This window comes from Homo sapiens, chromosome 6 (assembly GCF_000001405.40).
Source record: "Homo sapiens chromosome 6, GRCh38.p14 Primary Assembly".
NCBI classification, from domain to species: Eukaryota; Metazoa; Chordata; class Mammalia; order Primates; family Hominidae; genus Homo; species Homo sapiens.
This window is the reverse complement of record NC_000006.12, coordinates 152,413,904-152,432,539: the sequence shown is the minus strand read 5'-3', so window position 1 is coordinate 152,432,539 and position 18,636 is coordinate 152,413,904. Positions and strand designations below refer to the sequence as shown.

The 18,636-nt window shown below is 36.9% G+C and overlaps 1 protein-coding gene across 49 annotated transcripts in view; it reads left to right on the top strand.

Annotated features, from left to right (window-relative positions):
- Nucleotides 1-18,636, top strand: part of SYNE1 (spectrin repeat containing nuclear envelope protein 1) — a 515,676-nt gene that overhangs the window by 204,823 nt on the left and 292,217 nt on the right. For all 49 annotated transcript variants that reach the window (XM_047418508.1, XM_017010610.2, XM_017010609.2 and 46 more), the window contains 7 exons: nt 1,831-2,058; nt 2,330-2,428; nt 4,148-4,335; nt 4,724-4,847; nt 6,993-7,159; nt 12,818-12,971; nt 15,525-16,153. In XM_047418508.1, coding sequence (XP_047274464.1) covers nt 1,831-2,058; nt 2,330-2,428; nt 4,148-4,335; nt 4,724-4,847; nt 6,993-7,159; nt 12,818-12,971; nt 15,525-16,153 — 1,589 coding nt within the window. The remainder of the gene's footprint in view (nt 1-1,830; nt 2,059-2,329; nt 2,429-4,147; nt 4,336-4,723; nt 4,848-6,992; nt 7,160-12,817; nt 12,972-15,524; nt 16,154-18,636) is intronic.

The following is an 18,636-nucleotide window of genomic DNA, read 5'->3' as shown; positions in this document are numbered from 1 at the left end:
TATATTCAATTGTCTATTTTTATTTTATCAGACTAGAAATACATTTCAATACGTCCAATAAGGCATTTTTAAAACTATCTAAAATATGTAAGTGAATATGAATACCAGGAAAAAGATATTTGCTAGAAATAAGCAAAGTTACAGTGGAATACACTGTCCTATGGAAATTGGTCTATTAGGTTCATGTTTTATTTCCAAACATAAGACTACATTATAGGAAAGGTTTAAAATATAGTAACACTTGTAATATTTTTCCTTTAAAACGATCTTAGGATTAAAAGTAATGAAGCATTTGCCTTGTTGGAAGATAAATACACTAAGCCCACTTTTGTTCATTATTACATGCCATTTCAAATGACTGAGTTCTTATTCCTAACTTATAATTGATAAATGATAAGAACATATGCTGGGTTCGTCTTCCATCTTCTTCTCCTGGATGGATTTATTTTTACCACAATCCAACAATATGATTGAGTGATTCGTATATATGAATTTGTTGATGGCAAGTATTACTCTAATAACTAAGAGCTCGGTTCTTAACTAAGTTTGTTTCACCGATGTGTTACAAGCAACTAGAACAATTATTAGTGCTTTGTAGACAACCTATATTTTTTGAATTTATGATTAATTTTTCTAAAAAATATAATCTTAAAAAACAGCAAAACAAAGGAAGCCTGTATAAATGCTCAAATAACAAATATTGATGAGATATACCACTTCATTCATTCATATGAAAAATAAAAATGATGCATATCCGACATTTATGTAAATTATTTCTGATTGCCTCAACTAGGCAGAAATTATTTCTGACTATGGTGTCTCATCTAGACAGAAGTCAAAACTTTATTTTTTTCCTAGGGCAATAGTATTTTCCATTTAAATAATCTGAAACAGAGACTTGGCTGAATTTTTGATGTATTTTGATTGAATAATTTGGCCCTTTTTCTCAGAGAAATAATTTTCATCTTCTTATATACAAACAAGCTTCTATGTTTGTGAGAGACACTCCACAGACACACATAAACACATGTGCACATGCACACACTTCCTTAATAGTTATCAGTATTTTTCAGATGTTGGTTAACATGTAAAATGTCCTTTCTTCCCCCAGTTGAAATAAATTGAAATGACAGTATGTGGGCTTTTCTCTGTCAAGTACATAGCAATGAGGTCCCTGGATCAGCAGCCTCAGCATCAGCTGGAGATTTGTTAGAAATGAAAATTCTTGAGCCCCACCTTAGACTTAGTAAGTCTGAATCCCGGAGAATAGGGACCAGATGGTCCTAGTGCATTCTAGCTTTGGAAACCACTGGCATCAAGAATAGATGATAAGTTTGAAAAAGGAAAACTACTTTTAGGTAGGTGTGCAGTTATTAAACCTTTTAGTAACATATAAAATACTCAACTGAATTTTAGAAAAATAAGTGAATGTCAGTATTTAGCATTCTAATGAGTTACTGAAACACAATGCTTCCCCAGCTCAGTTAATTAAAACGCCTAATTCATAACGTAAACATAATTCTCTGTACCTTCAGAGATACTGTAAGTGTCCCAGGGACATCTCCTTGCTTACTTCACTGCAAGCAAGAGTAGCTATTTCTCCGTATGCTCTATCCAGCAAGCACCCCCCAACCCATCACTGTATTTTGCAGACATTTTCGGCATATCTCATCTCCCCAAACACATGGTGTTTGCTCACAGCTGCGCTCTAACCATCCAAGTCTTCAAATATCAGTTAAGAAAATATTCCCTCTTTGCAGATAATTGTATCATTTCAGGAAGGCAAGCTTGCTCAGCCTACATTGTCATTTTTCTTGTTTTAACTATTAGGTCACAATTCAGGAAATAGAAAGTAAGCTCAGCAGCATTGTAGGATTAGAAGAAGAAGCCCAGTCTTTTGCTCAGTTTGTTACCACTGGAGAATCTGCTCGAATTAAAGCCAAGTTGACACAAATAAGAAGATACGGGGAAGAGCTTCGAGAGCATGCACAGTGTCTGGAAGGAACAATCCTGGGACATTTATCTCAGCAGCAAAAGTTTGAAGAGAACCTTAGAAAGGTAAGAATTGATCCACCTATACTTAAGTTTACATATTTCACATTGTATTTGTGGGTAAGTGCAATAAATACTTTACAAATAGTGGAATAAGAGAAAGACATAATTTGTGAAATAATGGGACATGTTGATTTTAGATGTTTAAAGAATGCATTTTATAATTACATTAAAAGTTATCCATAAAAGGTAGGTATGCCATTTTCTCAGTAACTTTTTTTTTTGTCTTGCTATGTATCTTTCCCACTGTTATTTTTATATTGCACCAATGTTTTAGATCCAGCAATCTGTGTCTGAATTTGAAGATAAACTTGCTGTTCCAATTAAAATATGTTCTTCAGCTACAGAAACATACAAAGTTCTTCAAGAACATATGGTAAGAGTATGCTTCAACATTTCTACTATTTACCAACTTAAAATTTGATAATTCCCACTTGAAAAGAAAATACAGTAAACTTTTTAAGAGAATTGAAATTGGAAAAATGTTTATATTAGTTGAGTAATTATATAGATCTAATGTATTCACTTTATATAATCCAAGACATGTAAGGATGTGAATAAATTTTCATTAAAGATGTATATTAAAGGAGTATTCATTTCAAATACATTTCTCTCTTTTAATTAGGATGAGTAACATTTTTAGAGCTTAGCTTTAACAACCCTGTTACCTCTTGCCAGCATTATAAAAAAGTACATGTGCAAGGAAAAATATATGTGTATAGCTGTCTTCATATTTTAACCCACTGTACTCAGATGTTTAAGGAATATATCCTCACTGATCTGTTTCCAATGATTGGTTTTTCTCATCATTGCGAATCTTCTGCAAGGCTACAGACAGATGGCTCTGGCAGAATTTAGGGGGAGGAACAAAGGGGGATAATTACGTACAAAGAAATACTACCGTACATTAATTAATAAACAAAAATACAAATATGATTCATATTGCATGTTCATGTGTGCACGAACATTTATAAAGGTGTATGTAATAGAAAACAAGCCATTGACAAAGGCCATCTGGAAGAGGGAGTGAGATTTCTATTGTTTAAATATTGATAATGAGAATACACTTTTGCGTTACTTATTTGTAATTTCTTAATACAAAAAATGAGGAAAAGTAGGAGAATTCAGTGTGATGAAATTATTTTTATAGACAACTAAGTTAATAATGGAGGACCAAAGAGGCTAATATTCTACTTTTCCGATATTTAGATTTCCTAAAGCAAGTTGTTTTTCTGTGTCTTGATTTCCTAATCTGTAAAATGAAGGTAATGAAATAACATACCTCTTAGGGTTCTCAGGAAGATGAAAAGAGTCAATACATGGGAAGCAGGTAATGCAGGGCCTGCCACATTCTGAGGCACTGTGTCATTATTATTATTATTATTATTATTATTATTATTACTATTGAGATAGACAGTAGCTTCTTCAGCCATAATTCTTTTTATATGTATTTTTTGGAGTGATTATAGCATGTTACATGTGGGTTTTGTAAGTTAAGAATAGGGTTTTTAAATACGTATTTAGCATAAAATGACTAATAATCTTCACAAGTTACCTAAATTGTTAAGGGAAAGTTGAAAGTTTTTAGATAAATAGCAGTGCATTCTTATTTGAAGAAGTGTCTCCATTTTCGTTTTTGATTTCTGTATTTATGAAGTCACTTTCTTCTCATTTTCACTATGTCTTGCTGCAAATCATGGGCACAGACCTTTTAAAATAGATATAACTCTTATTTGTTTTTGGGGGTGCACATGTGATAATTTAATATATTCATATAATTTGTAAAAGTAAAATCAGTGGAATTGGGACCTTCATCACCTAAAATATTTGTGTTTTATTTATTCAAGAAACATTCAAACTATTTTCTAGCTATTTTGAAATATAGGATAGATTATTGTAACCTATAGTCCCCCTACTAATCTATTGAACACTAAGTCTCATTTCTTCTATCAAACTGTATATTTGTACCCATTCTTAGTGCTATTCCTGTTTATTATGACTGAGGGAAAATATTTTGCGATGATCGGTGTCAAAGAAAAATGCAGGCCTCGTTGGCTCCTGTGCTTTCACTGCATTCTTCTCGCACTCTTCTTAGGATCTCTGCCAGGCCCTGGAGTCACTGAGCAGCGCGATCACTGCCTTCTCAGCCAGTGCCAGGAAGGTTGTGAACAGAGATTCCTGTGTTCAGGAGGCTGCGGCTCTACAGCAGCAATACGAGGACATCCTAAGGAGGGCGAAGGAGAGACAGACGGCGCTGGAGAATCTGCTGGCCCACTGGCAGAGGTGAGCAGCACTTTTCCTTGAGTTGCTGCACTACTAAATAGGAAATTCTGGATTAGCAGTTCTTAAAGTGATGGGGAGTAGTTATCCCAGATGCAAAAGACGTGAACTTGTGGGTCTACTGTAGGAAACTCTTGATCTTTGTTATAAGGCAAAGATTCCTGAGAGTGGAGAGGATATATATGGGTCTTTACATATTATCCAATATAAATGTGAGTGCAGGGACACAAATGAAAATAAAAGGAGGGATTTTTGTGCTGGCATATCTAAGACTGAGATAACTGAGGCTGTATTTACTATGGTTTGTGTTGGACCCTCCAACTTCACAAAGGTTTAATCTGCTAGCATGATAATTTTCAATAAATTTGTTTCTGCTCTCTGCTTCCTTTAGGCTAGAGAAAGAACTATCATCCTTTTTGACCTGGTTAGAGCGGGGTGAAGCTAAAGCCAGTTCCCCAGAAATGGACATTTCTGCAGACAGAGTCAAAGTGGAAGGTGAACTTCAGTTAATACAGGCAAGTTCAAGGAAGTGTGAGGAAGGAAAAAATAAAATGCTTTTTGTTACAGTTACATTATTTAAAATAATAAAATAAATAAACTTGTACCTCCCTTCTTGCTTTGGTTTTGTGATTCCTGAAGCATCATTTGACATCAGGGTGTTCCAAAAAGAAGAAAGCAACCATGACCTGAAAGGGAGAGAAACTAACAATGAGAACTTTGTGATGATCAATTTCCATGATGTGTTAGAAAATCCTGTAATGTAATGCCCGGCATCTGAATAACATGGTTTGGCAAAGGAGTTGAGGAAAGGATGGGTAGGAATATAGATGAAAGAGGTTGGCTATCAGTTCATAATTTCTGAGGCTGGAAATAGGTATAATCTCTCTACTTTTGTAATTATATGACGTTTGGGCAATAAAGGGTGTTCTTTTAAAGAAATAAGTAATAGAATGTAGAAAGAAGTCACAGTAATGATTATTCTTATGGAAGACAGAAAAAAATGAATGAGCACAAATGTAGGTAATAGGTAGAAAGACAAAGTTTATTTCATACTTGAAGAAGCCAATTTTTTAAACTTAAAGAAAGAAAATCGTTGAGTATAATTGAAGCTAAAGGCAATGTTACTGATTTCTAGAGATTAATAACTTGCCTTAAATGATACTGTCTATGCTGGAAAATTCAACAGTCAAAATTGCTTCTCAAAAAAGATTTATTGTATTACAGATTTATACTCCAACTTTCTCCCATCAACTTTTATAAGACGTTTAAGAGGAAGCTACGTTCTTTTGCCTTTTGTAATCGCTTCTCTGAAAACTCTGTCACCAGTGTCTATAGCATCGGAATCTGTGGCCCCACCTTTAAATGTTCTCCTTCCTTGACTTGGGGGGTACTCCATTCTTCTGGTTCTCCTGCCTTTCTGGTTTATTAAACACTGGTGTCTGCACTCATCTTCCACAAAGTCCCTTCTCAGAAACCTGTACTGACTGTTTCCCGCCCTGACCATAAAGGGCAATCCTGATCTACAATCTGGTTCCTGTCTTCTTGCAAATACATGTGGGGTATTCCCAGAGGGGAGGGACTTCACAGCTCTTTTCCTTATAAATGAAGACACTGACTCAAGGCTACATGGGCATGTAAAACTGTTGCTGCCCATCTCCACGTGGAAACTAAGTGCCATATGACTGAGAGGACTGCAGACTCTGTTACTCCTGCATCCTGACATTGCGTCAGTAAGGCAGCCTCGCCTCGTGGGCTGGACCTGACTTGTGCATTCCTACCTCCTGGCTCTGCACCCTGCGCTGTTTCTTTCCCTTGTACCCAGCATAAGTCGCAGTTCTGCTTTATGATCTCACCTGTCATCCACAGGCTGTGTATTCCTTCCTCTAATCCCTTTAGCAATCTTGCTTGTATCACCTATGTGGCCTCACTAGGAAGGGAAGGAGAGCATTTTGACAAGTATCTACTATCTGCTGTGCCATACCTATCATTTCACTTAATATTTTTTTATTATTATTACCTATCTATTGGAGTGTTTATATTTTATCTTTTGTTAGGTAGGAGCCACAACTTTTATGCACCTCACAGCACTTAAGAGATTCGTTGACTGATTACATTTTTAAAATGAAGGAGTTCTGTTGCTTAAAAGTAAAATGAAGAGCCCTTAAGTTCTCCAGTTTGGCCTAATCTAGACTCTAAATAGAAAGGCAGAACATGTCCCAGGCTAGAATTGCATCTCTCTTATTGTTAGCTGTGCACTGAGTCTCTCCGGCAATAGTTTTTCTTTGATTCTCTTTGCCTACTCAGTCTCTTCATCGTGAAAGAAATTCTACAGCTTCTAGATTTGCCTAACTTAGAACTCAGACTCCAGAAAACTTATTCAGGTTTTAGTCGCATTTTATTACTTGATTTAGAAATGGATCCACTTAACCTTTAATGGAATGGAACCAAATTCCCCTAAAGGTTAAGTGGATGAACCAAATTCCTTTAAAAGGTTAAGTGGATCCATTTCTAAATCAAGTAATAAAAACTCTCTTCAGCCTGTCCCGAATGACTTGCATTTTGCAAGAATGCGAATCCTTTGGACAACAGCCGCCTGTGCCGCATGGTCCTTACTTTTCAGTCCTGTTAGGATGAGATCCGTAATGTCTTGTATTTTTCAGGCACTGCAAAATGAAGTTGTATCCCAGGCCTCATTCTATAGCAAACTTTTGCAATTGAAGGAATCATTGTTCTCAGTAGCCTCCAAAGATGATGTGAAAATGATGAAACTACATTTGGAGCAGTTGGATGAGAGATGGAGAGATTTACCACAGATCATTAACAAAAGGTTGGTTCTAAAAGATAAATCTTCTAATATTGTTCATTTGTTTTTAAATGATGAGCATATAAATTAAGAAAGCATAGTTTTGTTTACTTTTATTTAACTCAACTACTCACCTGATAACTACAGAAGGGAAGAAAACTTTTATTTTGAAAATCAAGGTCCACAAAACTGAGCATTTCTGATGAATCCCAATACAAAATTTAGTCTTAAAATAAGGGCAAGTTATTAAACCAGTTGAAATAGATTAAAGACGGTAGGATTGCTAATGTATGTATTATTTATTGCTTAAGCTGTTTTTGTATAGGAAAAAAATGGTACCTAAAATTTTATCTCACATGACATTTCTCAACCAGAGGCATTTTATACACATATGCTAGTCCATTTCATTTTAATATAGATCTTCTGGAGAGAGCAAGGGAGATTATTGATAAATGGAGGCAAAAATGGATTAAATCTTAATTAACTAGGTGATTAACAATTGGCATCTATACCTTTCCAATATACCAGAAAACAAATTTTCTCTTTAAATTGGTATTGATCACCCATGTGATCTTAGGCATTTAACCTTTCTGACCATTTAAAAAATTAATTCATTCAGCAAATATTTATTGACTTTCCACAATGAGTAGCATACTCTTCTATGTGCTGGAAATAGCAGCAATAAAGAGTTTCATCCTTTGCTTTCATGGAGCTTATATTTATTCTATTATTTATTTATTCCTGTATTCAATCAATCAACAAATATATATCAGGTGCCTGCTGAGTACAAGGTACCATATCAGACACCAAAAGCCATAAAAATGAACAAAACCTAACCCCAAATAATTGACAGATTAGTGTGGGAATAATGAGGGGTGAACACGAAGTATTATAGGATCAAAAAAAGGGACATTTGAATGGTTTCAGAAATTTACGGAAAGATTTGATGCCACCTCTTGAAAGGTGAGCAATTTTCTGTAAAACAAAGCAGTAGCTGCCCTTTGCCTATCCCTTAGAGGGAAAGTAAGGGACTTTTAAAGTGATACCAATGTGTGAAGGCATTGAAAATATAATGTATGCATATAAGGATAATGTGTAGAAGATTTTATAAGTATTAAAATGTGAAAGCTGATTTAACAGTTGAACTTTGGATACAAACCATTTTAATAAATACTAGTTTTGATTAAGGGATTATTTTTAATATGTTTGGATTCTGATCTCCAATCACCTATTATTTATTAACTAATTCATTGATTGGTCCCTGATGATATCCCAGGCACCTTTTTAGGTGCCGAGGATACAGCAGTAAGCAAGGCAGGTCCATGGTGTGGAGAGAGGGGAGGAAGGAACTGGGCGGAAAATAAATACATAACTAAGCAAGTGAACAAACAAGACGATTTCAGGCAGTGTTCAGTATTATGAAGACAACAAAACAGGGTAGCATGGCAGGGACTGCAGGATGGTGTATCTTTAGAATGGTGGTCAAGCGAGACCTCTCTGGGGAGATGACATCAGATTAAGATCTGTGGGCTGTGCAGGAAACAGACCCACACAGGCAAAGGGAGCAAAAATGGCAAAAGCTCTAAGGCAGTAATGAGTTGGTTTTATTGGGAGACAGAGAGGAAGTCAGTGGGAATATGGGGCAGAGCTGTGTCAGATGAGACCAGAGAAGTAGATGATGTGAGGTTTCTTGTAGACCACAGTAAGGAGTTTGGGGTTCTGCCTTCTTAAGTGCAATGGGAAACCACCTAGTGTTTAAGGACAGGGAATGCCCTGTTCACTTGAAATCATGTTTACTTATTATCTAGAGAGTATATTGTAAGTAGGCAAAGGTGGGAGGGAGGAAGCCAGTTAGGAGGCTGTTGAAGGTCAGGCAAGAACTGAAGAGGTTTAGACCAGGATGAGAGCAGTGCAAATGGAGAGAAGAGTGCAGAGTCAATGTATAGTGTGTGTTGGTGGGGAGGGAGGAGTGGGGGGATTATAGGGCTGAGGCCCTTGGCCCCCTAGAGGTTAGAAAATCACTGACATGAGGCAGATTAATAGAAAAGGCATATAAATTTATTTAATGTATATACACAGGAGCCTTCAGGATGGAGATCCAAACTCCATACATTTGACATACAGAATATATGCCATATTGAGGTTACAGAAAGATTGTGAGCTCAGAAAATGGCCCAAAACAGGTTTTCATGTTAAGACAGGTTATTGGAGGGAGAAAGGAAGAGGCTTGGCTAGCAAAGCTGGTCTTGTTATGTAGATGAAACCTCACAGGTATAGCCCTCAAAGAGAATACATGGTAAAGGTCTTTTTCAGGTCTTTATGGTGTTTGACTCTCAGTTCATCTTTCCTAGATCTGGACAAAGGCAGGGCTAGCTGCATTAGTGCAGATTCTCTACAGATCTACAGAAGCAAGTTTATTCCCCAAAAGACAGCTTTGCAGGGCCATTTCAGAATTTGTCAAAGAAATATATTTTGGAGTAAAATATTTTGATTTCCTTCAGTTCCCATTTTGAAACTTAAAAAACATTTCACGTATTAATGTGAAATGCTAAATGGAAAGTTTTGAAGAGATTTGTGTTAAAGTTTGTTTGATAGAGATTGGGTGTGATGGCTCATGCCCATAATCCCAGAGTTTTGGGAGGCCAAGGTGAGGGGATTGCTCAAGGCTGGGAGTTCAAAACCAGCCTGGGCAACATAGCAAGACCCCATCTTTACAATAAATTTTTTTCAAAAAAGTATCCAGGCATGGTGGCATGTACCTGTAGTCTCAGCTGCTCAGAAAGCTGAGGCAGGAGGATTGCTTGAGCCCAGGAGTTTGAAGTTACAAGGAGCTGTGATCACAGCACTGCACTGAAGCCTGGGTAACAGAGTGATACTTTGTCTCAATAAAATAAAAAGAAAAAAAAAGGCTATTTCATAGAGATAGACAAAGGAGTGGAAAAGCAAATTAAGATAAACAGAAAAAAAGCAAACTGAAATATATTGTTGCATGTCTTCTTTAGTCAGTCTCTTAGTCCTGAGAATAGATCAGTTCAGTTAAATAGCTGTGTCCCATTCCAGAAAGTGGCATTGCAAATGGGCTGGGCCTCTACATATGATGCAGGCAAACAGATCTTTAATAAGAGACATTTCTAAGGAAACAGAAGAAAAACAAAGTTTAATATCTAGAGTAGTCTATAGACTTGTTTTTCTAGAGTTTGTGAAGCATCTTCAGATTGCAGTAGCAATCTGAACAGATTTTTCTGGATTGTAGTTCAGTTCAGATGAATGGTCGAGTGAATTTTCTGAGAAGTCAATACATCAACAGGCACATAGGTTGTTTACTTACAAGTTTCTGTTATTTCTCCCAAAGTTTAGTTGCCTAGCTTCAGTTTGTGGGGCATTAAGGAAAGCAGTTTTGGCTGAGCATGGTGGCTCACACCTGTAATCCCAGCACTTTGGGAGGCCGAGGTGGGCAGATCACCTGAGGTCAGGAGTTTGAGACCAGCCTGGCCAATGTGGTGAAACTCCATCTCTACTAATAATACAAAAATTAGCCAGGTGTGGTGGCAGGTGCTTGTAATCCCAGCTACACAGGAGGCTGAGGCAGGAGAATCTCTTGAATCTGGGAGGCAGAGATTGCAGTGAGCCAAGATCACGCCATTGCACTCCAGCCTGGGCAACAAGAGTGAAACTCCATCTCCAAAAAATAAATAAATAAATAAATAAATAAATAAATAAATAAATAAATAAAATAAGGAAAATGGAAGGAAGATTTGGAAAACCTTAGTTTGGAAACTTGCGGCCAGGAAACAATTCAGGATTCAGTCCAAATTATGGGAACATAATAAAAACTCAAAAACAATGAACAAAGTTAGATTCTAGTAACATACATACTGTAGTTTTTTTTAAAACATAATTTTTCTCTCTTCAGCCCCCAATTTCTACCAAAGACAAATCACAGTAGGATCAACTTATTTGCAAGATAAATTTTAGTCTTATTATACTTGGCCTAATTATCCATATAAAGTGCAGCAAGATTAGTGATTGGCCATACAGGCTTTTTAAAAATTGGCTTTGCTGCTACGTTTTTCATAAGAAATCTCAGATTAGACTTTCAAAAGTCTCTCAACATTAACCAAACAAAAGGTTTATCTGTGCCTGCAGATAATCTGTATGAATTGGGTGAATTCCTTTCTTCTAAAGGTCCTAATATAACTTGAGATTCCTGGGCCTGTCAGAAAGTGACATTCTTTACTTACCACAGGTCAGGAACTTTATAAAGGCATCACATAGAAAAGTATAAGGCCAATCTTCCCAAGGGCTTTTCATTGGTTCTATAAAGTTTTTCTGAATTCCTCAAAGCAGTCTGATCATATCTGAAAATATGCCATTCCAGTCAAAGCCTTGGTAAAATAACCAATGTTTCCAATTGTGTCCTGTGACAAAACATATTGAACTTATACAAATAACTATATTACCATACATTAAGAATGCTCACAAATAGTCTCCAATTTCTGGAAAAATCAAGTAGAGAGAAAAAATATACTACAAATTTTGCTCACAGAAGTGTAGTTTGCCCAATTTGTTGTAAGCTATAGACAATTCAAAGAAAAAAAAGTTATCTTGACTTGGAAAGGAAAACATAAAAAGAATCAGCAATGTTTCAAACAAAACACCACTAAAAAAAGTATTTCAGGCCTCTGTTAGTTCAGTCCTATGTAATTAAATCTTGTTCTGCTTAATGTTGGGTTAGCAAATCTCACGAATGTATTTTTAATTAGAGTCCTGGAAGTTTTTTCTTTTGAGACAGAGTCTCACTCTGTCACCCAGGCTGGAGTGCAGTGGCATGATCTCAGCTCACAGGAACCTCTACCTCCTAGGTTCAAGCAATTCTCATGCCTCAGCCTCCTAAGTAGCTGGGATTACAGGTGTGCACCAGCACACCTGGCTAATTTTTGTATTTTTAGTAGAAATGGAGTTTTGCTGTGTTGGCCAGGCTGGTCTCAAACTCCTGACTTCAAGTGATCCAGCTGCCTTGTCCTCTCAAATTGTTGGGATTACAGGCATGAGCCACTGCACCTAGCCATGGAAGTTTTTTCTTAGTTCAATAGTATAGTCTCCAAAGTTATCAGAAATCTGTATTTTAGAATACTTGCAAGAGTCCTTTCCATGAATTTCCTTAAAGAAAAAGCAAATTTTGGATTGCAGCTGACTGTAAACCACTTTTTGAGAAGAATAAAAGTAAAATAATAATTGTCTATGGATGACAAAAGTCATAGGCTAGCCATGGTTAAAGACACGATTAAAAACTTTGGTTACTTCTGTGGCACACAACAATTGAACATAATGATAATTATTACTGATAACATATACTAAGGCATCAGAATTACAGGAATTTCATTCAATTTTGGAACATATGTTATGCTGAGAGGGTATCCATAGATTAGATGCACTCGTAAAGAAAGGACAAGATGAAGAGTGCCTCATAGGACCAACAGGGTGAATGGTGGCAATGTTCACTGAGACAGGGAAGATTGTGAGTAAAGCAGGGTTTGGGAAGTAAAAAATATCAAGAGGTATAGAGTGTTCATGTGTGACAACATTGCTTTTGCCCTTGGGTAAGCTTAATTCCCAAAATACATCATTAATCCTTTCTGTTTACTTATGGGACATTTTAACTTTAATACTTTGTCTACATAGGATTAATTTTCTTCAGTCTGTGGTTGCTGAACACCAGCAATTTGATGAGCTGCTGCTTTCCTTTTCTGTCTGGATTAAACTGTTTCTCAGTGAATTACAAACTACCTCTGAGATTAGCATAATGGACCATCAAGTAGCCCTTACTCGGCATAAGGTAAAGTGGTTTTTTTTTTTTTAAGATTGAAGAAGAATTTCTTCATAAAAAAGTTCTTGAATTAAAAAGAGATGCAACATTTTAAAAAAGTTTAAATGGTGAGAATTTAACTTTTTATTTATATGAAAATGTTTTAATAATTGAGCATATGAGTTAAGGCAATGAATTATGCAGACCAATTAAGCAGATAAAGCCACTTCAGATAAAATTGGCAACCATCTTAAGACACTTTCTCTTCATAGTGGAGCAAATGATTGCTAGGATAAAGTGATAAGAATGTCCATTTTTAAGCTTCCCAGTTTGTTTTATTTCAAAACTGAAAACTAATACTGAATTCAAATACTTTAAGGATATAGTTTTTCTGAATTACTATTCAGCTTTAAAATGATTTAAAGCTTATTTCCCTTATTTATAAATTATGCATATGGAGGGGTGAAAAGATCTTTCCTCTGCTCTCTGAACGTTCAAATAATTTGAGTCTATGAAATGAACTGACAATAGACCAATTAACAGGAGAAATGGCAAACACATTTATTATGTGCATATTGTATGGGAGTCCCACAAAATATGAGACTCTAAGAATAACCAGATGACTAAAGTTTTTATGTTATACAGAAAGAAATAGGGGCTGGGGCTTCAGGAGGGTAGTAGGGACAAGCTATGGGAGGGTGAGGGGAGGAAATGCACTGTGAACAAAGGCTGTCTTATTATGCAGAAAAAGTTTCTCAGGTAGCACACCTCAGAATTACAGATGGCAGCCTGTGCTAACAGTCTTTCCAAGTGAGATGTCAGACCTTAAGGGACTTTCCTGTGAGTTATTCCTCCCTGGTTGATGATTATATTTCTTCTGGAGGAACTTTCCTTAGTCAGATAAGGGAGCATCAGGAAAAGCTCTTCTCTGAATTTGCTGCTCCTCAGGTTCTCTCAGTTTAAAGTCCAAAGTGACATATTTTAGGGTATCATTTTCTGACTCCCCAACACATTATATCTATCCTGGCACCAGAAAACATTCAAAAATTCCGATATTGATCATAAAGCATTGAAATAATGGAGATAAGCTACATAGTACGCATATAGCAACATTTAACAATAGAATATTTCATATTTATTGAGTGTTCACTCCTTGCTGGGTTGACTAATTGGTTCTGTGGCAGGGAAAAGCAACTTTCTCCTACCTTCAGGACAGGAGATAGTTTTACATCTTGGGGGAAGGTGCTCAGTGAATTTAGGCTCTACCATCCAAACAGACTGAGAGAGAGCAGCTATCTTCCCTGATGATTACATTTCAAAGAGATGGCTCCCAGGTCCTTCAGAAAAATATTACGGAGGTAGAAAAAACTGGCCAGAGCTTTAAGAAGAGTTACATCTCAAAGGGGCAGAGAATAAATTTACAATTACAAGTTTTCTAAAGTAAATGCTCTAAGAAAAAAGAAAAGGTCAGGATCTGCAGTCAAGAGGAACCTATCTGAAGTTTAGTAGTCAAACAGAGGAATCTTAAAGTCATTGTTGTCAAGATTAAGATAGGTGATAATTTCTATTTAATGGAAACCACTGAGAATGTTGCCAATTTTCTGCTAGATTTTAAACATGATTTATTGTGAGCTAGTCAAATTTCCTATACAGAAGTCTTGCATAAAATACAACTCGGATTTGGAACTAATTTAATGGAAAAAGATTTCTTCATGGATTTTGTGGATAGAAATTGTTAGTTAAAAAAATTAAACATTTAGATTTTTAAAGATTTATATGTATACACATATACATCTTTTAAATTTTTAAATTTAAAATTTTTTCACATACATGCATCTTCTAAAATTTAAAATTTTTAAAGTTGAAATATTAAAAATATGAGATATCTAAATACAAATATTTGTATATAAATGTATACATATATGCATCTTTAAAATGTTAAAATTAAAATGTAAAATATATGTAAGCATCTTTAAGAATCTTCCAATGTTTTTATTTCTTTTAACTAACAATTTCTATCCACAAAGAAATTTTTTTCACAGAATTAATTACATAGTTCCAAAACAGAGTTGTGTTTGTTTGTTTGTTTGTTTGTTTGTTTGAGACGGAGTTTTACACTGTTTCCCAGGCTGGAGTGCAGTGGTGCAATCTTGGCTCACTGCAAGCTCCGCCTCCCGGGTTCATGCCATTCTCCTGCCTCAGCCTCCCGAGTAGCTGGGACTACAGGCGCCCACCACCACGCCTGGATAATTTTTTGTACTCTTAGTAGAGACGGGGTTTCACCGTGTTAGCCAGGATGGTTTCGATCTCCTGACCTCGTGATCTGCCCGCCTTGGCCTCCCAAAGTGCTGGGATTACAGGCGTGAGCCACCGCGCCTGGCCCAGAGTTGTGTTTTATTTAACAAATGTGGATCAGCAAAACAGAAAATTTTGTGAATTTTCTAAGATTCACTGTAGATGACCTTTAAGTACTATACTATCCATGGCACCTAAAATAGATCTTCACATCACAAATCCTGTAAAATACCTCTGCCATAGACTGTAGTGTATCTCAGGAATCAATAACTCTCTCTTCCCTTCCAGGACCACGCAGCAGAAGTAGAGAGCAAAAAGGGCGAATTGCAGAGTCTGCAGGGTCACTTAGCAAAGTTGGGTTCTCTGGGCCGTGCTGAGGACCTCCACCTCCTGCAGGGAAAGGCTGAGGACTGCTTCCAGCTGTTTGAGGAGGCCAGCCAGGTTGTGGAGAGGCGGCAGCTTGCCCTGTCCCATTTGGCAGAATTCCTCCAGAGCCATGCCTCTCTGTCCGGCATTCTCCGCCAGCTGAGGCAAACAGTGGAAGCAACCAACAGTATGAATAAGAACGAGTCTGATTTGATAGAAAAGGACCTCAATGATGCTCTTCAAAATGCTAAAGCATTAGAATCTGCTGCCGTCAGTCTGGATGGCATTCTTTCCAAAGCCCAATACCATCTGAAAATCGGGAGCTCTGAGCAAAGGACTTCCTGCAGAGCCACGGCTGATCAGCTCTGTGGAGAGGTAGAGAGGATCCAGAACCTTCTGGGAACCAAGCAGAGTGAGGCAGATGCTCTGGCAGTGTTGAAAAAAGCATTCCAAGACCAGAAAGAGGAGCTTCTGAAAAGCATTGAGGACATTGAAGAAAGGACTGACAAAGAGCGATTGAAAGAACCTACCCGCCAAGCTCTTCAGCAGAGGTAAATAGGAAACTGTCACGGCCACTTGTCTCTTTTCTTTTGTATTTGTTCTGGAATTAACTTTTATGCAAAACTTTATTAGTACTGTTCAAGGAAAATAAAAACTCAGGACCCCAATTCACTCTGCCAAAAGAAAGAAATTAAGCTGAGTTGAGTCATGCAAGCAGCTGCCTTTCCTTTTGTTCCTAAACAGATAGATACAGAGAAAAGATTAAATAATTCCATAGGTAGCTACTCTATGTTCACCTTGTCTTAGGTAAAGTGCTGATTTACTGAGCACGAGATGAATTCGTAATTGACTATTCCCTGCCTGCTTCTTTTCTCTTGCAACACATGGATTAACCTTATTCTGTCTCTTTCCCCTCCAGCCCATTTTTCCCCTTTAAGTGTTGAAGCCCTCAAAATCATCTTTGGAGAAAGGTATAAACCACAGACTGTTTCTGTAATTTCATATTTATTTCTTCCGGGCATGTCCTTAACCTTGGCAAAATCAACTTCTAAATTGATTGAGACCTGTCTCAGATACTTTTTGGTTGATAGTACCATATTTAGCAATTTCTTCTTCCTCTTCTTTTTTTTTTTTTTTTTTTTTTTTTTACCACTTTGAAGATAAGATTAACGACTAATTTGACACTTGAGACGTACTAAAATTTCTTTGGATTTCCCTAAAGTCAGTTTATGAGCAAAGAATATGTAGATCTTATTATCTGTTTTTAAACAATTTTTTTACTGATGGGAGAAGGGATTCATCTTCTATAACAAGAATGAAGGCAGAAGAGAAAGGTAGTGATCCTAGTAGTTTTGGTGGTAAAAAGTATGAGGAAATTCCTCCTTGGTGGCTGAGAGCCTCTTGGTAGAGACTGGTGCAAGCTCATTAGTTCAGAGGAGAGGGCAGATGTTGGAGGAAAGAAAATGGTGTGAAACAGTTCTCTTGTAGAGGGGAGCTTAGGAAGGTGATGAACTGTCATTTGAGCTCTGTGTTCATTTAAAGTGAAACCAATCAGCTTGGCAGAGTCATTTTCTACAACTGCTTTTAACTGTTTGCTTAGAGGTATGGAGAGGCAGAGGAGTGGGTTTAAGTAAGCAAAGCTGAGCTTTTGTCAGGTGAGTTCATTTGAGAAGCAAACGGGTCAAAGATAAGTTCCCTTAGTAAATTTGAAAAGTAACTGTTTTCTTAAAACTGTAGCCTTCTTTTCAATTTTTTTTCTTCTTAATAGAACCTTCTGACTCCTGTTTTCAGGGCCACTTGCTCTTCCATTTTTTTCAGTGGGCAAAGAAACAGCTGAAATGCATTCATGCCAAGGTATTCATAATTGGTAAAGATTATGTTGTTCCTGAAAGACCATTGCTGGTTGTTTCCTTTTAACCAGAATCAACCATTATGTCGAGGATTTAGTCAGATGATAGTGGAGTCAATATTGGGACTGGGCTCCTGAGGTTATACCCTTTATAGGCAATAAATTATCTGATTAGTTTAAGAATAAATTTACAAAAGGGAATGATACTTGGGAAGAAAAAATAGCCTCCAGAATAAAGAGAGAACAAGGTGCCTAGTGTCACTCACCCTGGATGCCAGCAGTATCATTGGTGCTGCAGGGTGTCATGGCCTTCTTAGACCAAGCAGACAGGAGATCCTCAAATTGCCAGAGTAGAAAACCCAGGTTGAGCTCAGGAGCCACATCAGTACCCACAACACTGCACTCACCAAAGTCACACATCGGGTGCAGAAAATGTTGTATTGAATTAATGGACTTATTTAAATTCCAGCCATACTAATGCTTCACTGTGCCACCTTGGGAAAACCTCTTCTCTTCTTGTAAGGTGGGGATAATAAGAACACCTGCCCCCAGCCACCATCTTTTAGGAATTAAATGGGATAAAGCATGTAGACTCATTGTGTGAACTCTACAGTCCTATACCAAACTGTAAGAATGAAGAGTAAATGGCTGCCTCTTTGTGGCCACTTTTTTTTTTCTTTGAGACAGGGTTGTGCTCTGTCACCCAGGCTAGAGTGCAGTGTTGCAATCATGGCTCACTGCGGCCTCAAACTTTTGGGCTCACATGATCCTCCAGCCTCAGCCTCCCAAATAGCTGAGACTATACACATGTACCACCACAGCCAGCTAAATTTTTTTTTTAATTTTTTGTAGAAATAGGGTCTTGCTCTGTTGCCCAGGTTGGTCTTGAATTCTTGGTCTCAAGCAGTTCTCCCACCTTGGCCTCCCAAAATGCTGAGATTATGGGCATGAGCCACTGTGGCTGGTGATATGGCCACTTTTTATAAATGCTGAGATACTAATAGATTAGGGACAAAAATGATCATTTCCTTATGGTAATCTTTTCAACAAAGTAGGTAATTTAAGTTTAAAAAAAAAAAGTATATATATATATATATATATATTCTGCAGAGCTCAGTAAAGCTAATTTGATATTGAATGAAACAACTGTAATCCTTAAACACTATTATTTACATGGATTGAACC